The 27,730-nt window shown below is 37.7% G+C and overlaps 1 protein-coding gene and 1 long non-coding RNA gene across 26 annotated transcripts in view; one reads left to right on the forward strand and one right to left on the reverse strand.

Moving 5' to 3' along the window:
• The window catches only part of PCM1 (pericentriolar material 1), a 106,961-nt gene extending 89,831 nt beyond the window's left edge, over positions 1-17,130 (forward strand). For 22 of the 25 annotated variants that reach the window (NM_001352633.2, NM_001352650.2, NM_001352635.2 and 19 more), the window contains 5 exons: positions 1,146-1,218; positions 1,766-2,022; positions 12,543-12,635; positions 12,726-12,840; positions 14,819-17,130. In NM_001352633.2, the coding sequence (NP_001339562.2) occupies positions 1,146-1,218; positions 1,766-2,022; positions 12,543-12,635; positions 12,726-12,840; positions 14,819-14,844 (564 nt within the window). In that variant the 3' untranslated portion in view covers positions 14,845-17,130. Of the gene's footprint in view, positions 1-1,145; positions 1,219-1,765; positions 2,023-2,882; positions 3,014-12,542; positions 12,636-12,725; positions 12,841-14,818 lie in introns of all 25 variants that reach the window. The other 3 variants (NM_001352642.2, NM_001315508.2, NR_148032.2) reach the window with 2 other exon arrangements.
• LOC124901894 (uncharacterized) lies at positions 21,170-27,529 on the reverse strand. The gene is made up of 2 exons (XR_007060836.1): positions 27,410-27,529; positions 21,170-21,348 (listed from the first exon to the last, which is right to left on the reverse strand). It is a non-coding gene; the product is annotated as an uncharacterized LOC124901894 (long non-coding RNA).
• Positions 27,530-27,730: the final 201 nt, after the last annotated feature.

Consider the following 27,730-nt stretch of genomic DNA (forward strand, 5'->3'; position numbering starts at 1 on the left):
TTTTCTTTGACTTTAACACTTGTATGAAATTATTTTTATTTCAGCTGTCATATTTTTAACTTCTGAACACTTTCTTTTTTTCTGATTGTTACTTTTTAATAGTGCCCTGTTATTTCACAGAAGCATTACCTTCCGTTTTCAAATGTCTGCTGAACCTTGGTTCTTTATATTGAACAGTGATATATCAAAAAGCAAGTTAAGGTTCTTTTGGGCTTCACTGCAGGTAGGGCATTTGGGGAGACAGCCAGCATATTCCTACAAACTTCTAAATGTTAGTATCTATTGGTCTTTTCTTTGAGATGGTTTAGATTCTTCAAATTAGGGTCCTTCACTGTCGTCCTGCCTGGAGTGTATGAGCTTGGCTGCTGATATTCTGAAGCTAGATTGGGAATGGGGCTGAGGTCCCACCGTTATACAGGCATGCACTAGATTATTCTGTTTTCAGTATTCTATTTAGGTTGGTGCAAAAGTAATTGTGGTTTTGGTCATTTTCAATAGCAAAACCCACAATTACTTCTACACCAGTCTGATACTTTACTGTGTCATTTGTGTCTCCACCTCTACTCCCAGTGGCCCCAGGTTTGGGGCTCACTAGTTTAATTTCTCTAAAATATAATCTGCCATTTTCTGTTGAGGTGGGAGGAGAGAACCTACGTAGGCACATTTTCCTTAAACAGTTTTAAACAACTACCACCACCGTTTCATCTCCAGCTCCTGCCCCAACATCATCATGTCTTCCTTTCTAGATCTGTTACTTACAGTTATGAGGTGAATCTCAGTTTTTGTTTCCTCTCCCTGCTGAAGGCATTTAGCTTTGTTCATCTTCCTCTCGTCACTTCCTCCTTCATTCCCTTCTTGTCTGCATTAAGTGTCTTTTAGAGTCTGAAAAAAAATGAACAGTGCAGTCTGTTCGTTCCAGTTGTATTATACTGTGTGTGTGTGTTTTTAAGGCAACAAGGAAACCCTTTAACTTAGCCATCTTGAAATCACAACCAAAGCCGCCTCCTTGAAATAGTTTTAGAAGATACTTTTAAATTTCTTTGTATGAAGGTCTTGGGTTGGACAAAAACTACACACTAGTAATCATCTCTTTTATAGTGACCATATATTTCAGGCCCTGCTATTAAAACATTTTTCCCTTCTAGGTCCTACAACGTGACTTTAAAAAGACAGCAGAAAGCAAAAATGTCCCATTGGAACGAGAAGCCACTAGTAAAAGTAAGAAATCTAAATAAGTCTTTGATTTTAAGATAATTTCCTTTATTTGCTTTAAAGCTAAAAAAAAAAAAAAAACACACACAGAAAACACTAAAATTCTTAGTTTGAAAGTACTTTGGACCTGATGTATGTTTTTCTTCTCCCTATAAATCCTTTGTAGAAAACATAAGAATTTGTTTCTATAAACAATAAAGAAAAGGTGACAAATATTTACCTGCACAGACAAAAATTCTGTCAAGAGCATCGCATCTTTAGATACAAATAATGGTAGATTTAAAAAAAAAATCTATTTGTAGGCCTTATTACTGAAAGTCCTAATTTTTTAGAAATCAGGTGGATTTCAGGAATCTGAGTCTTAAAATGCTCCCAGGTGATTTTGATCAACTAAATTTGGGAACCATTGATAAGGAAAATTTGTAGTTGCCTTTTCTTTTTGGTCTTAAATATCTTGATTGCTCTTATTCAGGCGTATTGTCTTTATTAGTATAATAGTAAAATTTAACATTTTTTGCATTACACTAATGTTAAGACTTTCTTTTGATGACAGATGACCAAAATAACTGTCCTGTGAAACCCTGTTACCTCAATATCTTGGAAGATGAGCAACCTTTAAATAGTGCTGCCCATAAGGAGTCACCTCCTACTGTTGATTCAACTCAACAGCCTAACCCTTTGCCGTTACGTTTACCTGAAATGGAACCCTTAGTGCCTAGAGTCAAAGAAGTTAAATCTGCTCAGGAAACTCCTGAAAGCTCTCTGGCTGGAAGTCCTGATACTGAATCTCCAGTGTTAGTGAATGACTATGTATGTATCATTTACATTTCCAAATATTTTTACTTTTCATTTCTGTGCATATTTCTTCATTTTCAGATTAGCATTCTCCACATGTAAACCATTTTGTGTTTAGGTTTAGAACATGTTGGAACATTTTTCTAATTCACACTTTAACTTTAGCAGAAGGGTAATAGTGAATTAAGATGACCATCTCAAAACCCACATGCTGTTTTATAATTTTGAGAACCAAAGGGATAAAAAGATTTCATCTTAAGTTCGGCTCTGAAGTGGTAATGATGCATGAATCCTCCTTTATCCTTTATACTACCTATTCTTCTCAACTGTTTAGAATATATTGCAAATTTTCAATAAACTTAAAGGTTTACACTTGGGATAGGAAATAAAACAGTTTGACAACAGAATCTTTATACAGTGAATGATAAAAAAAAAAAAAACTAGGAAATCTGTACTCATGATAGTACTTACTAAATGAAAATTCAAGTGAAGCCCAGGTCTGAAAAATACTTGAGCAGAGGAAAGCAAAAACCTTTAAAGTAATTAATCTTGCTTAAGCTGCAAACATAAATGAAACTTCACTTGGGTCATTTCTGATAAATGCTTCTGTTAGAACCAAAGCTTAACCCCAGCCTGTCATAAGTAGCCCCCTAACATATGGATATGTGACTAGGGACTTTCTGAGAAGGTACTTGATAAAAGACAATTTTGTAATTGCAAACCAAGCAAATAATTTATTTTACTTCCACATTTTCCAAATAAATACTTGCCTCTGATATTTTGTCAGTGGAACACTAAATCTCTTTTGGTCTGGTGTTCCCACTTCCTGAATTGCTTCTTACTCAAATAAACTGTAAAATTTTATTGTGTCTCAGATTTGTCTTTTACAGTTTGGTGTCAGAGTAGGATTTGAAAGAGACCCCCTGTGGCCTCTGGAAGCATCGAGGAACCAGGCAAAAGGTGTCCATTGTGCTCACTGCTTTCTCGCTGCATCTGGAGGTCCTGGGTAAGTCCCTCTCGGATTTCAGGCTCCACAGTTTGTGTCCTGAGCTCTCTGAGTTTATCTGAGTAATTTTATTTTGAGACTGAGTCTCGCTCTGTCATCCAGGCTGGAGTGCAGTGGCGCGATCTCGGCTCACTGCAACCTCTGCCTCCTGGGTTCAGGTGATTCTCCTGCCTCAGCCTCCCGAGTAGCTGGGATTACAGACGTGTGTCACCACACCCGGCTAATTTTTTGTATTTTTAGTAGAGACAGGGTTTCACCGTGTTAGCCAGAATGATCTCGATCTCCTGACATTGTAATCCGCCTGCCTCAGCCTCCCAAAGTGCTGGGATTACAGGCGTGAGCCACCGCACCCAGCTGGGTAATTTTATTTTTTACTGGATCCAGAGGTCGAACTAGATGTTTGACAGTAACTAGACTGGGTCCAGTTGGCAGCCTCAGGTAGGTGAGGTTTAGAAAGATAGGGTATTATGGGTTCATTAACACCTAAAGACTCTGGGACCCCTCTTTCTAGAACTCTAGCAAATTTTATGTTTAGAAATTAGGAACATGAAACTATGCCTTTAACTATGCCTTTCTGGAGAAATGGTTACACTTTACCAGAGAAGAGAAGAGTTAAAGTTACAGTGGAGAAGTTTTAATCTAGATAAAATTGTTTATGGGGACATTAGAAAAGAAGGGATCCTAAATGCCTTAGAAACAATGGGAAGCAGTTTTTGATTGTTGTATACAGGCTTCTAAAAGACATAATTCCAAAATTGCCTTGCTAAAAGATTCCTTGCTAAAGGCAAATAAGACAGATGAAAAGCTTAAGCAGTGAATTGACAACCAAAATAAAATGAATTGTATGTAGGGAGTGATTTCACTCTGACCTGTTACTCTGCTTATCCTCCTCTAATTATTCTGAGTCCACTAACCCATTTGTTCAGTCATCTTAATCCTTTTGCACAATTACCCTTTCACTCTGGACGATGTGACAGAAAGGAAGTTAGGCTAATGCTTTGCTTAGTTAGACCCTCAGCCAGGACACCGAGGTCTGGCTCCTGTAAGTACTTTTACTTCTGGGTCAAAAGCTGAACTCAGAGCCATAGCAAAAGATTTTCCAAATCCCAAGGAAAATCCAAAACAGTTTGCTGAGGAATGTAGATTTAGAATGACCCTGGGCTTCCTGATTTCTGTCAGTTTCTACGCATGATATTAGCCACTGGGGAAGCATGTTAATGGATGACTACGGCAGGATGGCATAAGCCTCAGAAGAGTATTGCCAACCCTTTAAGAGCTACTTCTGTGGATAGCCCAAAAGATGCTACAAAAACAACTGGAAAACATCTAGAAGCTATCCCCATGGTCTTTCCACAAAAGATTGACTAGTCCAAAAAGTTGAATCTATTTCTGATTACACGGCTAAATTGGAAATCTCATTTGTTAAACATTCTGGTCTTAAAATACAGCAGGGAGTATTTCCTGCGGGAACTGAAATGGTTTTTATGGTTTTATTCATTAATAGTCTCTGACTAGAGTCTGGTGACTTGATTAAAAAACACAAGATTGGATGGCAAGTCACTGATATGGCTATATTAGTCACCATAGCTGAACATTTTGAGAGAACATTAGAACTAGAAAAAAATCAGTTTCTGTAAAGAGGCCATTGAAGAAAAGAGTCTCCACGCTTGACCAGTCCTCTAATGGACCTACCTGTGTTGGGCCAGACTATTTCCTCATTAGATGAAGTTCCCAAGGCTGGGCCAGGCATGGTGGTTCATGCCTGTAATCCCAGCCCTTTGGGAGGCCAAGGCAGGCAGATCACCTGAGGTCGGGAGTTCAAGACCAGCCTGACCAGCATGAATAAACCCTGTCTCTATTAAAAATACAAAATTAGCCAGGCGTGGTGACACATGCCTGTAAACCCAGCTACACAGGAGGCTGAGGCAGGAGAATCGTTTGAACCCAGTGGGTGGAGGTTGTCGTGAGCCAAAATGGTGCCATTGCACTCCAGCCTGGGCAACAAGAGCAAAACTCCATCTCAAAAAAAAAAAGTTCCCAAGGGTTTGACTCTGAAGACAATAATCAACACCAATGGGACATCAAGGGATTCTCTGGTATGTTACTCTCCATAAGGCCCTTAAACAAACATGGGGAGGAAACTAAGATCAGCATCAGTGGGAGTCACGTACAGTGTTGGTGGATACCTTATCCACTTTCAACCCCATGCTAATAAATCAGCCAGTCCCTTGGAGGAAAGAAAATATTTCACGTTTCCAATCAAGTTCAGAGAATCCTCTGTGAACCAGTCTAAATGACAGTTGGACTAATCTCAGAAAAGCATGCCTTCCTACAATATGACACTAAATTGAGAGGGCACTTAAAGTTCTCTCTGGAAGGAAAGTTAATTTTAGAGCTTCCTGACCCTTCTAAACCTGAACTGCTCTGTTTCCTACAAGCAGGAATTGATCATATTGAAACTCACTCTTATACCAACCTAGACCTTTCTGAAGTACCCAGATGTTTGTGGGCTTGTTTCTCAACTGACAAAGGGAAGATTAAAAGTGGTAAGCCTATAAAAATACAAATACATTATTCCAAGCCATTGCCTAAATTGCCCTCATGCCCCCTAGGGTCAGAGGCAATCCAAGGGCTTTACCCAGTTATAGAGGATTTAATAAAACAATTCCTTGTACTTGTCTCTATAATACTATAATCCTACAGTTAAGAAATCCATCACACCTTTAATCCCAGCACTTTGGGAGGCCGAGGCGGGCGGATCAGGAGGTCAAGAGATTGAGACCATCCTGGCCAATATGGTGAAACCCCATCTCTACTGAAAATATAAAAATTAGCTGGGAGTGCTGATGTACACCTGTAGTCCTAGCTACTCAGGAGACTGAGGCAGGAGAATCGCTTGAACCCGGGAGGTGGAGGTTGCAGTGAGCTGAGATCGTGCCACTGCACTCCAGCCTGGCCACAGAGCCAGATTCCGTCTCAAAAAAAAAAAAATATGTATATATATATATGTGTGTGTGTGTGTATATATATATATATATATATATATATACACACACATATACATACACATATATATATATAAATATATAACATATAATATATAACAAAGTTGGAGATTTGTTCAAGACTTAAACATACAATAAATTGTCAATCCAAGATTTCCTGCTATTCCAAATCCTAACACTTTGTTATCTAATGTGCCTACAGATTCTAAATGGTTCACAGTGTAATCTTTCTTTCCTCTGCCTTTTTCAGTATTCCAGTAAGCCAGTAGTTCTCTGCTTATACCTGGAAGAACCAGCAATATACTTGGACTGTAGTGCCACAGGGGTTCGCTGAAGCTCTATCTTGTTTTTCTCAGACATTATACCAAGACCTGTCAACCTTACAATTCCATAGAAATTGTATTCTGTCTATATGTAGATAATCTTTCATACTTTTAGCTTACAATGGACATAAGGCCTCAATGGCAAAACTTTAGTTCTGTAGAGCGGCTGTCCTCAGCCTTTTTGGCACCAGGGACTGGTTTCATGGAAGACAATTTTTCCATGGACTGGGGTAAGGGGGATGGTTTCAGGATGATTGAAATGCATTACATTTTTGTATATTTTATTTCTATTATTATTACGTTATATAATGAAATTGGTATACAACTCACCACAATGCAGAATCAGTGGGAGACCTGAGCTTGTCTTCCTGAAACTAGATGGTCATATCTGGGGATGATGAGAGATAATGACACAGCATCAGGCATTAGAGTCTCATAAGGAGCACGCAACCTAGATCTCTGGCATGAGCAGTTCACAATAGGGTTCAAGCTCCTACAAGAATCTGTTGCCGCCAGTGATCTGACAGGAGGCAGAGCTCAGGTGAGAATGTGAGTGATGGGAGTAGGTTTAAATAAAGGTGAAGCTTGGCTCGCTGGCTCCCCCCACCACTCACCTCCTGCTATTTGGCCTGGTTCTTAACAGGCCCTGGACTGGTACTGGGGGTTGCAGATCCCTGCTGTAGAGTAAAGGTCCATTACATAGGATGTGATCTGACTGCAGAGAGAATTTTCCTCTTAACTGAAATAATAAAAACAATCCAAGGGTTCCCTAGGCCCACAACTAAGGCAGTTAAGGGAGTTCATTGGTCTTATGGGATACTGCAGATCTTGAGTCCCACATTTCTCTGCTGGCTTCCCCCTTGCCTGAATTTAGAAAAATCTCTGTCCCAGAGCTTTGCCATGGGAAGATAATTAGGAACAAGCTTTCAATAAAATAAACCTGGCCTTATAACCCCTTCAGGTTCAGGATACCCAAGTTATTTAAAACCTTTCACTTTGGGATTATCAAATATGATAATCCATCCTTAGGAGTCCTTACTCAGAAACGTGGAGGAAGCTACTGACCCATTGCTTATTATACGTTACAGTTAAATCGAGTTGTCAGAGCATATCCAAACCATCTAAAAGCAGTGACAGCAGCAGCTAAATTGATAGGAACTTTATCTGACCTAGTATTAGGGAATAAATGTTACCTACAAGTTACACGTGCAGTTGAAAGCTCATTACCTTCCAGTCAGATCCAACATGTCTTAATAAGTAGACTAACATTTTATGATATCCTTCTCCTGTCACCTTCTAATCTCTATCTCAGATGTCAGTCTGCTTAACCCTACCACTTTGCTGCCTCTGTCTGAACAATAGGAAGACCAAAACTGTGTGTGTGGTATCATAACTATTGACTCCTCACATTGACTTATGGAAAACTTCATTAAATAATTCTGAATAAATACATTTTATTGATGGATCCTATGAAAAAACTGTAGAGAAGAAATACTGAGCAAGACATGCTGTAACAACTCAGTATGAACTAATAGAAAAGGGAATTCTTTCTCAGTTTAAGTCAGGACAACCCGAAGAATTACGTGATCTAAGACTTAACCATATAGCAAAATGCCAATCATTTTCCATTTATACAGATAATAGGTATGCCTTTGGAGTGAGTGATGATTTTGGAATGTTGTGGAAACAAAGGGTTTCTCACTTGTAGTGGAACCCCCATCAGTACTGGACCTCTGCCAGATGAGCTTCTTTCAGCTATTCTGCTGCCCTCACAAGTAGCTCTTAATAAAAATGATGCTCATGCTCGTAGGACTGAACCTGAGTATCAAGGAAATGCATGTGTGGACTTTTATGGCCAAGTCTGAAATTGACAAAATATGCATTTTGAATGAACTCCACAGAATTGACCAAGATCAAATCACTCAGGATAATTTGTTCAGTAAACAATGCTGTGCACTTGAGTTGAAACAACAAAAATGGAATCTTAAAGGTTGCAAATTTCATGCTCAACAAGGACTCAGTGAAGGCCCAGACAGCCAGCTGGTCCTTCCTGAGTCCTTCAAACTGTCATTATTATTAAAGGCCCTGCACTCTACAAACCATCATGGTGAAGAAAAACGTTTCAGATTATGAAAAAGATTATGAAAGCAGAAATGGCTTACAGCAGTGTGGCTTGTCAAACTCATAAAGCTGGAAAGACCCTTAAGATTTCTGCCACCTGCTAGACCATATGTAGGTCTGCAGATGGATTTCATTCAGTTGCCACCCTCATTGAGGTATCAGTACATTCTTGCGGTAGTGTACCTGTTTGCAAGATAGATTGGGACTTACCCTTATAGAAAGGCTGATGCCACAACAGTAGCAAAAAATTCTTAGGAAATGTATTTCCTTTATGGGGCTTTTCTGGAGAGATCTCCAGTAATAAGGGAACTCATTTTCCTGAACAGGTTATCAGATAAACAGGATTTTCAAACTCGGTGGCACTACCATTGGCCTTGTCATCCTCGGTCTTCTGGAAAGCTTGAATGGACAAATTGTATCTTGAAACTAAAATTAGCTAAATTGTCAGCTGGATTACCTTGGCCAAAAATTTTACCACTAGCCCTAATGGCAATTACATCAACCCCTACAGAAAAACACAAATTTGACCCCTTATGAAATAACTGGAAGACCTATGCCTTTAATACCAGAACCCCATGTATCACCTGTATTTGTTAGCTCTGAAATGACTCAATACTCTAAGACCTTAATGGATTATGCAAAAGTCTATTTCTACCAGCTGAAGGAGGCTTTTTGTGAACTGCCTACCAGTGATGATCTATGACTGGCTTCCATAACTTAGAACGTGGAGATTGGATCTTTTGGAAACAACAGCAGAGAAAAATTGCCCTTGAGCCTCATTGGAAAGGACTGTAGCAGACAGCTCTTACTACTCACAATGCAGCAAAACTTCAGGGTTTTCAGCCTTGGGTCCATCTATCTCAAGTAGAGAGAGCTTCCTTAGACTCTTGGACTTGACAACCTATAGGTGACTTAAAGATATAAAAGGGAAAGCCTTTCCCTAGGAGCAGGTGGCATCGTGAAGTAAACAACTTACCACCACAATGAAACGACTACATTTAAAACTTTTCTCATTAAGTTTTGATTTGGTTTTGCATTAACACAAAATGTTCAAACTTTTGTTGGGAACTTTTCCTACTCAAACAGAATATCCTCTAAGGTCTGATGTTCAAAGAATAGCCACTCTCACTCAACCAAAGCAATTGCTGGCCATGTAGTCATATAGATGAATGGAATCACAACTAATACCGAAATCTACTCCCACACACACTTGGGTGAGCAATTGGTTTTATGAAAAGGTTTGGTATCCTTCCCCTAGCAGGTTGGTTGATATTTATGGTTGACTGACTTCGCACTGGGAAGAAGTTACAGAAGCAAAGGTATGTCCTGTAACTACTATTGATTTTATTGCTGGTAATTTTATCACTATGGACAGAAAACCTTAATGGAACTGGGCCTAATCTAGCCAGGGTTCCAGTCTCCCTATATGCAGTCAGACTTTATGATTTAACACCAATTAGGGAGACTGCTCTCCTATATAATGACACATATTTAAAATCAGAACTTCACCATGATACCCTTGACTATATTAGTAGAGAACGGACTGAAACTGACATTGGTTCAAAGGAAACTCTAGAGGCAAATGGAATACCCCTGTAGTTTCACTGTATACAATAGGGTTTTTAAGATCAGTATTCAGGGCATATTTGAAAAGGAAACAAGTCATCCTTATTTGGCGATGGTACCCATGTGTAATACATAGAAGTGTTTTTTTATTCCTCTTTCTATTTAAATCATAACCATTCTACCTGGCAGTGTGCAGATGCAGATATGACAGAGAATAACCATGACAATCACATCATTCCCAATTGGTGGGTAATAGGATCTCCTTTGCCCCTTTCTCTCAGTAATACTGGATTATTCATCTTGTATGGCAACAAAATATATAAATGTTTTCACCTATATGGTCTGGACACTGTGGTTTGGGCTATTTCCTACCTAAAATGACCAGATATGACTCTTTAAATGGTTGTGAAATTCTTAATCTGGGGTTGTTTGTACATGAAGTGATCCCTTACAAAAGAACTCCCTGTGATCTCCCAAACTCGAATATATGAAGGGGTTCTAGATTTTGTTCTTTGGTAAGATCGCTTTTTCTTTAGCTGGCAGTCTCTGAATTGGAAAAATGGCTTATGGATATTTCAGCAACCCTTGAAAAAAAGTTTTAATGATACTTTCGATACTCTTCAAGCAATACAATCTGAGATGAGTCATTTGGTCTCACTGGAACTCCAGTAGAAGTTTAGCTGCTCACAGGGATGAGCTTTGGGTGAAACGTATTGTTTTTATGTTAATTAGATATTGTTGCCCCAAATTTAAAAGATCTTAATAAATCAGAATTTTTTTTATCAGATAAGCAAGGCCTCCTCCATTGATTTATTCAGTTGGTTAAATTTTAGGCCCCTGGGAATCTTTGCTTAGAGGGATCTTTAAGTTCTTGCTACAGTTACTGTGTTTTCTTCCTTTGTGCTTTATATCCCCACAAGGGGTTCAAATGCTTTCCAGCAGCCACTCACACGTCAGATGATTGCCATCAGGGAAGCTAACACTGTGTAAACTTGATGGAGGGTGCATGACTGAATCCCAACATAACTTTTGATGATAACAACTTTACCTGACTTTTCATCCCAACTTCTGTGTCAGTAGTGGTTACAGGATAATGCTACTCCATTTGGCCACCCTCAAGCTGAGAGGGCAGCCAAAAGGGGGGAATTGTTAAAGCAAAATTAAAATGGAGATCAGGCCTGAAAATACCTGACCAAAACCCCCATAAAACAAAGGCCTTTAAAACAGCCTTAATCTTCCTTGAATTGCAAACATAAGTGAAACTTAACTTGGGTCATTTCCAATCAATGCTTTTGTTGGATAGAACTAAAAGGAGTTTGAGAGCAACCTGGGCAACATAGTAAGACCCTGTCTCTACAAAAAATTAAAAATTAGCCAGGCGTGAGAGTGCAGGCCTGTGGTCCTAGCTACTCAGGAGGCTGAGGCGGGAGGATCACTTGAGCCCAGGAGTTCTAGACTATGGTGAACTATGATTGCCCCTGCTGCATTCCAGTCTGGGCAACAGAGTGAGGCCCTGTGTCTTAAAATTTCTTCTTAAATATATATTTACAGTTATGATTCATAATTTCTTAGAAAGGGGGCTTATAATCTTTGAAAAACGTTAGTACAAAGAGTAACTCTTCTAACTCTTTTGTTTGCCTCACTACGAGTACAATTATACATTTAAAACTTCGAAAATTACTGGTTAGATTTATTCTTATCTGATCATTGTCTAGTTGCCATAGAAGACATTTAATTGAAATTAAGTCAAAGGTAGATTATAAAAGCTCTTGAATTTGAATTTTAGTCAGGGATCCTACTGAATGTTTTTGTGCAAGGAAGTGAAATGGTCAAATTTATGGGCTGTGAAGATTAATCTGCTGACTATAGCATATACTATCAAGCTAGATTGGGGGATCTACTATTATATAAGTATGAAATATAAGCTGAACAGGAGCAGGGTGAGAAACAGTGCAAGAAGAAGAAAAACCTAAGATTTCTACTTGGATAATTGGTAGAATTATGATACTATTAAAAATCAGAAGGGAGAACTAGGAGGGAAAAAAATAGAATTCAAGTTTAGGAAAAACAGTTTAAGGTGATCACAAAAGACAGTTACTAAATTCATACCTCAGCTTTCTAACAGCCCCATCAGAGTTGATACACTGAAAAGTTTGTAAGTGGTTACTTACATTCTGCTGGGTACAGCTCTCGTGTTCAGTAAACATATGAAAAAACAAGAGTTGTCTTTCTGTTTTTAGTCCTGGTTGTAACTATTTCTTCAGCATGTATGAACTGCCCCCCTGCCTTTTTTTTTTTTTTTTTTTGTGACAAAATGGTAACAGCTTGACAGTATGTTTCACAGCTGTGATTGTAGCTTTTCCTATGAACTGCATATTTCTAAATTATTCATAGAGCTGAATGTAGAAGAAAACGAAATGTGATAGAATTACTGAGAAAATAATTCACTATTTCTTTACATGGATGACTGGTTTGGATCTAGAGTATGTATTTTTTTTTTTCATTACATTACAGGAAGCAGAATCTGGTAATATAAGTCAAAAGTCTGATGAAGAAGATTTTGTAAAAGTTGAAGATTTACCACTGAAACTGACAATATATTCAGAGGTATTTAGCTGTCTTTAATTAAACTTGTCTTTACATAACAAATACTGTTAAAATGAAAAATGATTTGTATTTTTAATTTTCATTCCAAAGGCAGATCTAAGAAAGAAAATGGTAGAAGAAGAACAGAAAAACCATTTATCTGGTGAAATATGTGAAATGCAGACCGAAGAATTAGCTGGAAATTCTGAGACACTAAAAGAACCTGGTAAGAGTTATCAATTTAAATCTTGCCATATTGAAAAATCATTGAATCTTCATACTACTATTGTGTTTTATTTTTTAAATATGCTACTACTGACCTGGGAGATTTAAGCCAAATACTAGAAAGAAAGTGTAATTCTGTAAGAATTTTAGTTCAACTATTTATAAAACAGTGTCAGATAATTTTTTTCTATTCACATCTTTAGTTTTAAAAAATGTAGACATGCTGGCTGGGCGCGGTGGCTCACGCCTGTAATCCCAGCACTTTGGGAGGCCAAGGCGGGTGGATCACGAGGTCAGGAGATGGAGACCATCCTGGCTAACATGGTGAAACCCCGTCTCTACTAAAAATACAAAAAATCAGCCAAGCGCGGTGGCGGGCGCCTGTAGTGCCAGCTACTCGGGAGGCTGAGGCAGGAGAATGGCGTGAACCCAGGAGGTGGGGCTTGCGGTGAGCTGAGATAGCGCCACTGCACTCCGGCCTGGGTGAAAGAGCGAGACTCCCTCTCTGAAACAAAAAAAAAAAAAAAAAAAAAAAAAAAAAAAATGTAGACATGCCCATGGTTTAAGAAAGGTACAAAAATATTATAAATAGCAAAAACCCACTTTTTTTTTTTTTTTTGAGACAGAGTCTCTGCCACCGAGGCTGGAGTGCAGTGGTGTGATCTCAGCTCACTGCAAGCTCCTCCGCCTCCCAGGTTCGCGCCATTCTTCTGCCTCAGCCTCCCAAGTAGCTGGGACTACAGGCGCCCGCCACCACGCCTGGCTGATTTTTTTGTATTTTTTAAGTAGAGACGGGGTTTCACCAAGTTACTCAGATGGTCTCGATCTCCTGACCTCGTGATCCGCCTGCCTCAGCCTCCCAAAGTGCTGAGATTACAGGCGTGAACCACCATGCCCAGCCCAAAAACCCACTTTTTATTATTGATTTTTAGTTCTTTAGGAGACTATAACTCTAAATATTATGATTCTTAGTTTTTAAGATGCAGATAATACCTCTTTTCTACCCGATGACAAGTATGTATCTAGCCCTACCTCTCTCTCCTCCTCCTCTCAGTGTTCATATTATTTTTGTTTGTTCTATTTTTTACTTTCAATTTTGGTTAAGTATATGTGCATTTTGTTCCATCAACTTTGGTCATTATCCCTTGCTGCTCCTCCTCTGCTTTCTTCCTGGTTCTCTGTTCAGTTTTACCCATATTCTTACATTACTAAGGCTATTATATACGCTTACATTTTGTTTTCGTAATATAATTAAATGGTTCTATACCTTCTCTGAGGTTGCTTCTATATAAATATCATTCATTGTAGAGCCAAGCGATAGTCTCAGATTTTCTGTATGAGTCTAATAACACAGCTCTGGAGCCACTCAATGTTTCTTGCATCAGGATCAAAGGGTTTTCTTTTTGTTGTTCTCCATCAGTTCATCAGTTGATGAAAATTGCATGATATCTCATTGTTTTTGTTTTTCCTGGAAATGGAGTTGAGGAGAAGGAAAGACCCTTCAGATATCAGACCTTCAGTTAATTTCTGTTTTCAGCCCACTTCTACCTGTTAGAATATGGTACCCTTCTCAGTTGCAGCCTCTTGCAAGTGTTTGAACTGCAGCTTCCTCCACTGTCATTGGGTATGCTTCCATCTGCATTGAGCATTCTGGTAATTTGTTGATATCCCCTCTTCTGTTTTCTCACAACCAGTCTTTTGTTGGTGTAGATTTATTCTATTCTATAGTTGTTTTCTTTTCATAGTGGAGTGTTTTTAGAGAGACACGAAGTATCTGCTCAGTCTGCCTTGTTGAATCAGAAACGCCTCACCTATTCTTTTTTTACTGTGTGCTATTAGGGAATTGTATTAGCAAGCTAATTTAGGATTTCTTTTATAATAACGTTATATTAAAAGTAAAAGCTTTAATGACAGAGAACAATGTTAAATTCTAGTAATTCGATAAGTAATTTATAAAGCATTTTTATTCTGTTTTTCAGAAACGGTGGGAGCCCAGAGTATATGAGATGTCTTCAGAGGCTCATCTAACTCTGTCCTTACATACTCAATGCATATATGAAAACAATACTAAATAAACATCTGATCTGTATAAAAATGTAAATTAGTTTGACACTGCTTTTTTGATAGGTGTGGTCATTTCTCCCCATGGTAGTTTAAAACATCAGAAACTGAATTCTGGACAGATTTAAGCCTTGACACACTGTGTTTTTTTTTTTTTCCCCCTTCTTTTTTGGGTCTTCATTTTTTTCCCCATTGTGATGTTTGGTAACGAATTTAAAATGTAGTTTTAAATAAAGTTTGGACTTATCTATAAAGTATCTTTTTTGGAAATTATATTGAATTCTATACAGCAAGTCAATGTTTTATATAACTTTAGGCTGCTCAGAGAAGAGCAATGGTTAAGAGTTAGTTAGAGAAATATATTATTTGTTATAAAGCCCATCCATTAGGCCAGTCTTCCAACTAATGCCAGTGTTGCTGCTGTTGGGTCTGATGTTCTTCTTTTAGATACCTGCAGGTCCTATTCCTGTGCAAGAATAGGGCAGATTATCAAGATATCCAGGATACCTATGAAGTTATTATAGAATATTTATTAATCCATTGAAATTGGATAATAAGTTTAGAACATAGGTTCTCAGTATCTAGAACTTACATCATTATCATCTGTTTGTTAGGATTTGAAATTCTGGAAAATATTTATCTACATCGCCTCAGACTAAAAGTAAAAAAAATAAGCTTTATATAATTAGGGAGATTTCTGCACAGAGAAGTAACATTGTGGTTAATTTTAAATGAAAAACTTAACTTTTTCAAGTGGGGATAAATAATACAACTAAATTTCTGTAATAGTAAGATTCTGTATGCCTTCAGATAAACTTGCCTATTGAGATGGTAATTTAAAGCCAAAGCATAGCAGTTTCTTTTGTGTGTAGTGAGGTTGAAGCAGATTTGCAGGTGAAGTATTGAAAGTTTATGTGACTTTAAGTCAGCTTTTGAAAAGTGATTGATTTGCTTTTTATCCCAAACTGTCCATATACCCAGTAAGGCTTCAAAAAACCAGTCAACAATGAGTAAGTCAATCTTATAGATTCTTCTTCCTCGAATAAAATACAAAGAATTAGTTCCAATAAGTATTTTAACTTTGTTAACAACTGAAATACCCCATAAAAAAAGAACTTGTTGAGAGTATTTCTTTAAAATGGTTACTTGCTGCCCAGGCACCATGGCTCACTCCTGTAATCCCAGCACCTTGGGAGGCCGAGGCGGGCAGATCACGAGGTCAAGAGATTGAGACCATCCTGCCCAACATGGGGGAAACCCCGTCTCTACTAAAAATAAAAAAATTAGCTGGGAGAGGTGGCACGTGCCTGTAGTCCTAGCTACTTGGGAGGCTAAGGCAGGAGAATAGCCTGAACCCGGGAGGTGGAGGTTGCAGGTTGCAGTGAGCCGAGATCATGCCACTGCACTCCAGCCTGGCAACAGAGCGAGACTCTGTCTCAAAAAAAAAAAAAAAAAAAAAAAAAAGTTAACTTGCTGTATACCTCAGTGTAATGTCCATTCAAGGAGTATTAAATGAGGATTTCCCTGCGAGGACATTTACTGTATTGCTACTTAAATTATGGAAGACAATATATCTTCAACTTTAATAAAACCTATTCAGAAAATTACCAATTCAGAATTCGGAGTTCTTATCCAGGTGCTCTAACTAACTTCAGGGAAATTGGAACAATAAGTTATGTTACATGCACACTCAAATTCTTTATTTTCTCCACTTTAAGCAGGAAAGGGTAAAAACTGTTTTGGTACTCAAGCCCAGCCTTACATACTGTGTTTCTCTCTCTGTCTGCATGCATATTAAAGTGGAAAAATTGTATTTATATCTTAGTTATTACCATAGTACCTATGAACCTTATCAAAATTGCTTATTTGACTGGTGTTACAGCTGCTATTAATCTAAGTCTATTGTTTTTCTATTTTAGTAGATAATTTAGTTTTAAAATACGTAGGGTTTGAGAGCAGATATATTTATTTAATCTGTTTTCTCTAGTAACTATTGCTGAAGGGTTAGGCATTCAGTATTCCTATTTGTCCTAATTTTGAAGTTAAAAATTTTGGTTACAGATAGATAGAGGGAGAAAAGTTCAAAATGAGTGAGAGAGAACTTTATGCAGGTTGAGATAATGCCTAAAATAATGAGCTGGCCAGACTGTGGAGGTACTCTTTGTATTTTGTAACATTGACTTTGGGTAAATGCTTTTTCACTGTTAATAAATATATATCCTGTATACAACCCTGAATTGTATTTTCTTTTAAATTCACATGCTCATTTATGTTTTAGAATTTGTTCCACAGTGGTGACTTGACAGCTTTAAATGTCACTTTGGGAGGCCGAGGCAGGCGGATCACAAGGTCAGGAGATCGAGACCATCCTGGCTAACACGGTGAAACCCCGTCTCTACTAAAAATACAAAAAATTAGCCGGGCGTGGTGGTGTGCACCTGTAGTCCCAGCTACTCAGGAGGCTGAGGCAGGAGAATGGCGTGAACCCGGGAGGCGGAGCTTGCAGTGGGCCGAGATGGTGCTACTGCACTCGAGCCTGGGCGACAGAGCGAGACTCCATCTCAAAAACAAAAACAAAAAAAAGTATATGTTGAATAATGGTATGATAGAAGTCACTGGCCACAGGAAGAATAAACTTCAAAGAAGTAAGTTTATTATACTCAAAGGCTTCAGAGTGGATTACCGCCAGTGCGATGGCTCACACCTGTAATCCCAGCACTTTGTGAGGCCGAGGCGGGCGGATTACCTGAGGTCAGGAGTTCAAGACCAGTGTGGCCAACATGGCAAACCCCTGTCTCTACGAAAAAATACAAAAATTAGCCGGGCATAGTGGCACATGCCTGTAGTGCCACCTACTCAGGAGGATGAGGCAGGAGAATCGCTTGAACCTGGGAGGTGGAGGTTGCAGTGAGCCAAGATCATGCCTCTGCACTCCAGCCTCAGTGATACAGCGACGCTCTGTCTCAAAGGAAAAAAGAGGTTGAGTTACCACATGCTATATAGGGTCATGGGCAAAGCACCAAATTTTGGTCACGTGGCATAAGACAGGAGCAAGGAGCAAGACTAGCTAGATCCTTTTTTGAGATTTCCTTAGGAAATGCCAGGCGGGGTAGAGTAAATGGTTTAAGATTGGCTAGTTTGAATAATACTGGTGGGCCATAGGGATGGTGTCTGATTCTCTGGGACCTTGTCCTAGGATGATTTAGGATGGATAAATAGTGGCTTAGTGTGCAAGTATTAGATGAGTGTGGTTGGGGCTGTAGACTTGGGATTGATAGGTATGTGTATGAAAGACCTGCTCCTGGCTGAGCCCTTTGCTATCTCTAAGAGACCTATCGCTAAGAAAGACCTTTGCTATCTCAAAGAACCTTTGCTATCACTAAGAGACAGACCCTGAATGGGGTGGTTCCTCTTTGATCAGCAAGCATTTAAAGATGTCAAAGCATCATAAAATACAGCAAATAAAAAGCATGAATAACATATATACTCTAGAGAGAACATTCTTACATTTACTCAAAAATAGACTGATTCGTTTCTTGTCCAACTTTTTTTTTTTTTTTTTTTGAAGACAGAGTCTCACTCCGTTGCCGAGACGGGAGTGCAGTGGTGCAATCTCAGCTCACTGTAACCTCCACCTTCCAGGTTCAAGTGATTCTCCTGCCTCAGCCTCCCGAGTAGCTGGGACTACAGACATCTGCCACCGTGCCCGGCTAATTTTTTTTTTGTATTTTTAGTAGAGATTGGGTTTCACCATATTGGCCAGGCTGGTCTCAAAACTCCTGACCTCATGAGCCACCCGCCTCGGCCTCCCAAAGTGCTGGGATTACAGGTGTGAGCCACCTCACCAAGCCTGTCCAACTTTCTTTAATCAGCTCATCTGTCAAAAAGAGATTGACTCTAGATTTCCCTTATTTCACTACACAAATAAAGTTTCCAAGTCACCTTGACTGGAAGAGCCAGCATTTCCCGTTGTACAACTCTAATTGTTACTCTTACAGTCCCTGTCTTTACATGTCTGGTTTCTTCCTCAGATTCACTGGTATCATTTTCTGAAAATTAAGGAACAGAAGGGAGCTCTGTGCCTACAAATGACTTTGATGCACGCAAGCATGCACCCACACACGTATACACAAACAGATTCAGTATCCATTGTTAGAAATGCTCCAAAATCCACAACTTTAAGTGCTGACATGACCTTCAGAAGAAATGTTTATTGGGGCATTTGGGATTTTGGATTTTCATATCTGGGATGCTCAACCAGTAAATATAAATATTCAAAAATTCAAAAAATCCAAAATCCAAAAGACTTATTTCCAAGCATTTCGGATGAACAATATTCAGCCTGTGTATGTGTATGTGTGTGTATATACATATATATGTACACTTCTAATTACCAGTTCATTTCTTCTTTATAAGCTTAGAAAAATCTGTTACAAAATAAATTTTGGAGCAGCAATTTAAAGAGCTCTTGATTTCCTTGTTTTAAAAACTAATCACAGTATAAAGTTTCTATGCAACAGAGTTCTATTATATCTCTTTTACATAGTAAATGTATTTCTTGCCTTAAGACTTTTCCAAAGTGTAGTTAGTTGGCTATCCCCCATATGTAGGTTTAACAAATCACATGATTAATTTTAAAACAAATCATATAGTTGCAAATATTATTTTGCTAGGAATCCTCACCTTTAATAAATAGCTTCCTGCCTAGAGCTTTTCTGTGGATCAGATCACAAAATACTTTGAAAGATGCAAAGAGCTATGTCATTTCACACTAGCAGTTGTCAACATTTGTGTTAAACCACTTTTAGTGAGACTATGGACACAAATTTAGACTTATCCCATCTTCATTGCTGTTTATAAAAATTTCACTTACTAGTGTGACCATCAGCTATTGTCTCACAGTTACATTGAGAATTTCCCTAGACTGGGAATAGGTATAGGTTATTCTATTCAATGAAATAATGCTCATAAGAATGTTTTGAGTATAAGTGCTATACAAATTACCTATGTTGGAGAAAAAAGACAACTCAGTATGGATTAAGTTCTGGATTTGGGATTTTTTTTTTCTTTCAGATTTTGGAATATTTACATTATACTGGTTGAGCATCTCAAATCTAGAGTTCAAAATGCTTCAGTGAGCATTTCCTTTGAGCATCAGGTCAGTACTGACAAGGTTTTGCATTTTGGACCATTTCAGATCTTTGGGTTTGGGACGCTCAATGTGGAGTGGTTTTGCTTTGTTTTCAATGTTCTAACCAACGTATCATTAAATCAATTTCCAGGGCAGAGTTTTAAATACTGATTGTCCACCAGAACCCACAGTTGCTTCTATGTGTCCTTTGTGAACATGTTCTGCCTATATACTTTTTTTTGTAGATTTTCCTTTTCTTAGGTGACAGAGACTAAAGGGCCTTCATTATAATGGATCTTGGATCTTAGATGTGCAGTTTCCCCCCAGTATCAGCTTTGCCATTTCCAATCTTTCTATTCCCTCACTCTTCCCTCTACCCTCCAAAATATTTAAGACAGATAATGAATTTTAAGTTATAAAATCAGTATTTCAAATAGCTTTTTGGATTATGATTTTCAAATTTACCTTGGATTATGTAATTTTGCCTCTTTTTTCTGCCCTTCCCTACCTTTCTCTGTATTCCCCCACCACCAGTTGTCAAATTTATATTACACAAATATTCAATAGAGAAATCACTAATAACTTATTTTTGTGGCCCATCGAATTCTGTTGAATTTGAGTATATAATAGCTAAAAAAAAAAAAAAAAAGCATATTTCAGGTGGTGTTTTCTAGCCAAATGAGTATATGTATTTTGTATTTCATATAATTCTGAAGCTTATTATCTGGTAGTTTCAGTGGTCAGTCTCAATTTTTATGTAGAAAACTTCTATACTCTTCCAGGGCTTATCAGGATTCAAAAGTTCAATTTATGTAACATCATGTAGTTCAATTTTTTTCTTCTATCTATATTAGCAGTCATATATACATTAGATATATGTTAGAATGCTTTTGGTTTTAACCTACAATTCCTTACCAGGAAATATTTGGACAGTATTATAATAAAGCAACAAAGAGATAGGGTTTCTATGACATTTGGAAATGTACAATGCAAAAAAAAACCCAAAAACCCTGCTGTTCTTCATTTTCCTATCTGTGAAATGCAGGAAGAATTATCCTAGATCCAAGGATGCTTTTAGTATTTTCAAAGGAAGACTTACGAAAAGAATTAAAAATGGAAATTAGTGAATGAGCAATTATACAAATAATTATCGGTGTTTATTGAAGTCCCAGCGAATAAGAAAGTGAAAAACCATAGTAACTCTTTATTTTATAACAAAAATGGGATTAAATTACAAGGATTCAGGTGACCCCAACTTTTGTCCATTTTCTATGACTTGGGAGGCTTCTGGACTTCTCTTTGGCATGGTGGCACTGCCTGAAAAAAAAAAAACAGGGACTTCTTGTTCCTCAAGTCTTTTTGGGGCATGTTACTTAGTCGACAACACAGAAGAAGGATACTACAATAAACTGTTTTTCTTCCCACTCCTAGGCTTTGAAAAACTAGTCAGTTATTGTAGTCCATTCTCCAACCTTAAACAACTAAATGATACTTTAAGTTAGTTTGCCACCCTTGGCGTTAGAGTCTTTCTGTATGGTAAGATTCAAAAAATTCATATGGAAGTATGTTAAGGTTTATGTTAAGGTTCACATAGATACTAGATATTGACGTGTTAAAACGGAGTTGTTGGTTGCCCCACATCTGATTGTTCTAGTCTTCTCATCTTAGTACGTGCCAGTTCCATCCTTCTACTTTCTTAGGACAAACCCCTTGACATTGTCTGTGGCTCAACTCTGTATCCCAAACCCTTCATCCAACCCTTCAGTAAATATGGTCAGCTACACCTTTAAAAAGTAAGTCGAATCCAGCTGGTTTTCACTACCTCTTCCACTGCCATCTTTATTCAAGTCACTCTTATCTCTTGCCTCGATTCCTGTAGTAGCCTCCTAATGGCCAGACCCGTCACTTCCTAGACTTTCTATAATCTAGTCTCAGCACAGCAACCAAAGTGATACTGTTCAGATGATACCAGTAGCTTCCTATTTTATTCCAAGTAAAAGCAAAAATGACTTCAGAAGGCCCTACAGGACAATTCTCTACCTCTTCCTTTCTTATTTTCCGTGTGCTTCAGTCACACTGACCTCTTTGCTGTTCAGACCTGCCAGGCATCATTGCATGCAGGGCCTTTTGCATTTACTGTTACCTCTACTTAGAATGTTCTTTCCTCAGATATTTTTATGGCAGACGTTTAGTGAATCTTCTTTATGTATCCAACCTAAAATTGCACCTCCCCACAGTTTATTTTTATCTTCTTGCCCTCAGCTTATTTTTCTCCATATTACTTATCCACAGTTAACAATATTTTACTTATTTTATGTCTTTCTCCACCCCCTCAGTTAGAATGTAAGCTCTTTAAGGGTAGGAATTTTTCTCTGCTTTGTTCACTGCAATATTTCTTGTCTTTAAGCAGATCCTGGAATGTAGAAATTTTTCAATATCTGTTACATAAACAAGTAAATTTGAGTATTTCGAAGAGAGATTCAAGGTCATCAGTATGTTTTACTAAGAAGGATTGGACATCTTATTTAACTATGGCAAATGGATTCTTCTCCACTTCAACAGTTTTAACAAAAACAGTGGAATATTCCTATAATAGTACTTTTCAGAGAGAAAAGTTTCAGCTGAGGAAAATGAAATATATGCTTATCTATTCCAAGTCTGCTAATAGGTAAGTCATATTAGTTGATTGATATAATTTGAAATTAACATGAAATTTAAGTTTAAAATGCAGTGAATCTAATGATAACATACAACAATAGATTTTAAAGTAATCATTGGAAAACCTTCAGAAAAACTAGGCTGTTAGTCAAATTGAAGAATATCTCCTAAGGGTTTCTGGAAAGAGACCCCTGCCCTAATTTCCCACTAAAAGGTCCAGAAAAATTGATGCCACCTGTAGTTTGGCAACGTGCACTAAAAAGTTCAAGGTACCGTCTTTGGCATAGCAATTTAATTGCTAGAAATCCTAACAATAAATATCTTAAGCTCTAAGAATCTTTATATATATAAAATATATGGATAATCATTCTTTGTCCTACATATTTAAGCTCTATCATCTATTTTAAGTAATTTTTTTTTGGTATGGTATGAGGTAAGGATCAGGTTCTATTTTTCTCCTATATAGAAATCCAGTGCCTTCATTTGTTCAAAGGACTTTTCCTACTGTCTTGTTACCTTTGTGGAAATCAATTGACCATATATGTGTGGCTCTATGTCTGGAATTTCTGTTATGTTCTGTTGATTTATATGTCTATTGTTACATCAGTATTACACTGTCTTGACTACTATAGCTTTATAGTAAGTCTTGAAATTAAGAAACGTAAGTCCTTGCTTGATGACTTGGGATACAGAAAAAAAAATCTCCTCTGAGCTGTTCTAACACTCAATAAAGTTTGTCTTCATCTTGCTCCCCCAAAAAAAAAAAAAAAAAAAAAAAAAAAGAAAGAAAAAGAAACGTTAAGTCCTCTAACTTTGTTCTTTTGCAGACATTTTTGGCTATGTTCTTTTCATTTTCATGTTTTGCATTTTCAATTTCAGTTTTCACAAACCAAAAACCTGCTGGGAGTTTTATTAGAATTGCATTGAACTTATAATTTGGAGGAAATGGAAATGGAAACAATATTGAGTTTTCCAATCCATGAACATTATATAGTTTTTTGGAAAGAAGTCTGCTGTCATTTTTCTTCTGTGTGTAATGTGTACTTTTCAGCAATTTGAATATGATATGCCCGTGTGTATGTGGATGTGTGTATCATGCTTGGGGTTCACTGAGCCTATGTGAGTTCGTAGTTTCCATCAAATTTGCCTCACACCCTCCAGTTATTCTCTATCCCATCATTTTCTTTTTTTTTTTCTTCCTATACTTGTCACCATCTGAAACTATCATGATTAGTATATTCACATCTGTCTCTCCTTGTTAAGGAGTCAAACTTGTTCAACACTGTATCCCCAGCAACCAAACAAGGCCTGACACAGAGTTGGTGGTCAGTATTTGTTAGCTTTGTATATTATTGCCTACAACATTTACCAGTAGGATAATAACTCAGTCGTCCTAATATTTGCTGTACATCAGCTACCCACAGTATTCTAGCATTGCTTATTTCAGTGTCAGATACTGATATGTTAAAAGGGAAAGGATTAGGTAGATTTTTCCAAATGCACTGTTGTTCTAGAAAAGGGGTAATTGTTATTAAATCACCACCATTATTACTGCCTGGTGCTTCAATGAACCTCTAGCTTAAGGGAAACAAAAACAACTTGATGTCAACTCTTCAAAGCAAATGGTTTCTACTCTGTCTACCTCTCCAAATGGCCACATATCCCAAGTGTTCACAAAATATTTATTGTTATTGAGGATCCTAGATGTGAGAGGGGTATAGGGCAGGGCCAACCTTATCAACACTTTGGCCTCAAAGATGAATGGAACCTTGCCCTCGGTATTTCTCTGTAACTGCAGAGTTTGGTTGAGTAGGGCAGAGGAGAAAGAACAGTATTAGTGTCTGTCATTTTTGACTGTATACAATTTGCTGATCAAATGGGAGCTCAGGGAATAGCCTACAATATTATCAAAATGTTCAGCCACCATCGTCTGCCTACATTTCCACCTAAAACAGTGCTGTTTCCTATTTGCTATTTTTTAGAGGGTTAGTTTCTTCGTGTGTGTGTGTGTGTGTGTGTGTGTGTGTGTGTGTGTCTGTGTGTATATATATATTTTGGCTGGGGTGGGGGTGGAGGGCATATAAATTTTTGTCAACTTTCCAGCGACACTGTATTTCCAACAAGGTTTAAGTAGGACATCAGTGACTGGTCAAGCCCTTTGAAGGCTGTCTCTATGCCAAGTAAGAAGATTCTTTTTATGTGGAATGCAGTATCAAATCAGCAAAGCAGCAGACTTATCAAGGAAAAACTATACAAAGAAGTTCGGGTAGAGGAAAAGGTTAATTTGAAATCTTTCTGAACTTACATTATAATTACTGAAGGTCTTTAATATTATAATAGCTGGCAATAATTCTGATAGTGGCTTTTCAATGGAATTTAAAAAATTCTACATTCTACTTCCACTGGAAAATGTCATGTCAACGAGTTTAATTGTAAACTAAGGATAAGCTCAAAAGGGTGATAACAGAGAAAAAAGTAATCAGGCCACTATTGAGAAGAAGTACAATGAAAGTCGTCAATAGTATATCAACTCACACACTATTCTACTTCCCCACCCTTACCATCATTCTTCCCTGGCACTTTAATTAAAAGAGAAAGGTTGAAGGAAAGAGCATATATGTGGAACTCTATTCTGTTGCTAGACTCTATGCCCCTCATTGATTTGAGAACTTCTTTAACTGCAGTTTAAAAAATTAGACACAATCTCTTTTAAAACCATGAAAAAGAAATGAATGCCCCTAAGTATAACTTACATTCCACACTGAACTACAGGTTTTACCCAACACTGTCAGGCAAGAAAAAATGTGTAAGAATTTGGAAAGAAAAAAAACTGCCATTATTCACAGATGATTTGTTGTCAACAAAGAAAATCCAAATCTACAGACAAATCATTTGAAAAAGTGTGTTTAGCAAAATTGTGTTATATAAGGTGATAATTTAAAAATCATTTTTATACATCGGCAATTAATAAGCCATGTTTTGAAATTATTTAAAATTGTTTGAAACTTACAAATACAAGATAAAAATAAATGTCACAAAAGATGGACAAATTATAAAGTTTTCTGAGTCATTAAGGAAGATCTCAATAAATGGAGAGACGTACAATACATTTTGAGAATACTACTCAATAATGTGTAGATTTCAGTTTTCCCCAAATTGACCTAAAGATTGAATGCAATCAAAATCAAAAGTCCGTGTAAATTAGTCCAGCTACAGTAGAGAACATTTTGGAGATTTCTCAAAGAACTGACAGTTGAACTACCATTCAACCCAGCAATCCCATTATGGGATACATACCCAAAGGAAAATAAATTATTCTACCAAAAAGGCCCATGCGCCTGTATGTTCATTGCAGCACTATTCACAATAGCAAAGACATGAAATCAACCCAAATGACCATTAACAGTGGATTGGACAAAGAAAATATGGTATATATACACCATGGAATACTATGCAGCCATAAAAAAGAACAAAAATCATGTCCTGTGCAGCAACATGGATGCAGCTGGAGGCTGTTATCCTAAGTGAACTAATGCAGAAACAAAATCAAATACTTTATGTTCTCACTTATAAGTGGGAGCCAAACACTGGGCACACATGGACATAAAGATGGGAGCAAAAGACACTGGGGACTACTAGAAGGGATAGAGCAGGAGGAATCAAGGGCTAAAAATCTACCTATTGGGTTCTCGGCTCACCCAATGTGGGTGATGGATTCCTTCATACCCCAGACCTCAGCACCACACAGTATACCTTTTTAACAAATCTGCACACGTACCCTCAAATTCTAAAATAAAACTTGGGGGAAAAAAATAAAAATTCCAACATAGTTTTTCAAGGAATTGATAAACTAATTTTAAAAGTAATAGGGAGTATCAAATGCCCCCAAATAGCCAAGATACTTTGGAAGCAAAAGAATGCAACGAAGGGGCAGTGGTTGCCCTACCAAATATAAAATCTTATCATAAACCTATACTGCTTAAAGATAGTATACCTAGGTCCAGGGATGGACAAACTGAATAATGGAAGGAACTCAAGCATACATAAGGTCTTATACTTGACAAAGGATGTTATAGAGTAGTAGTGAAAGGAGAACTAATCACTACATGCCGTTCAGTGATTATCCATGTAGAAAAGAATATAATTATCTCCCTTGTCTCTCATCATACATAAAAACCCAACTCCATGTGAATTAAAGACAAATGTGAAAGAGCAAACTTGATTAAGAAAATACATGAGAAGATTTTTTACTTTGAGGTAAGAAAAGATTTCTTAGACACAAAAACAATCCATAAAAGATTGATAAATTTTTCTATAGTAAGAATATGGACAGATCTTAAAAACAATGTTGAAGAAAGGAGCAGTCACAGAATATTATATATGTATGATTCTATCTTCATATTGCTCAAAACAACTAATACATGGATAAGGAATATATACATATGCACTGTTTTTTTTTAAGCATGGAAGGGCTAAAGATGAAATTTAAGACAGTGATTCCCTCTGAGAATAATGAGAAAGGCATGAGAAGAAACTTGGTAATTTCAGTGTGAGTGAGTTGATAGTGGGTTTGATACTGTTGTTTCATTATGGTGCTTCATGGTTTAGCTGTACTTTACTTATATGCTTTTGGATGTGTCAGATACTATACAAAAATTTTAAGAAAATAAGTATTGGCACAGTCTGCCAACTCTTCCACCCCAGTCAGGGTGTTGCCTACCTGCTCATAGTGCTCACGGTGATGCTGCCAACCAGTCAAGAGTAGCTGTTGCCAGGACTTAAAGCCTGTGGGCTGGGCATGGTGGTGCACGCCTGTAAACCCAGCACTTTGGGAGGCTGAGGCGGGCGGATCACCTGAAGTCCAGGAGTTCAGGACCAGCCTGGCCAGCATGGTGAAACCCCATCTCTACCAAAAATTCAAAAATTAGCCGGGTGTGGTAGCAGGCACCTGTAATCCCAGCTACTGGGGAGGCTGAGGCAGGAGAATCGCTTGAACCTGGGAGGCGGAGGTTGTAGTGAGCTGAGATGACGCCACTGCACT

This window comes from Homo sapiens, chromosome 8, assembly GCF_000001405.40.
Source record: "Homo sapiens chromosome 8, GRCh38.p14 Primary Assembly".
In the NCBI taxonomy this organism is placed as follows: Eukaryota; Metazoa; Chordata; class Mammalia; order Primates; family Hominidae; genus Homo; species Homo sapiens.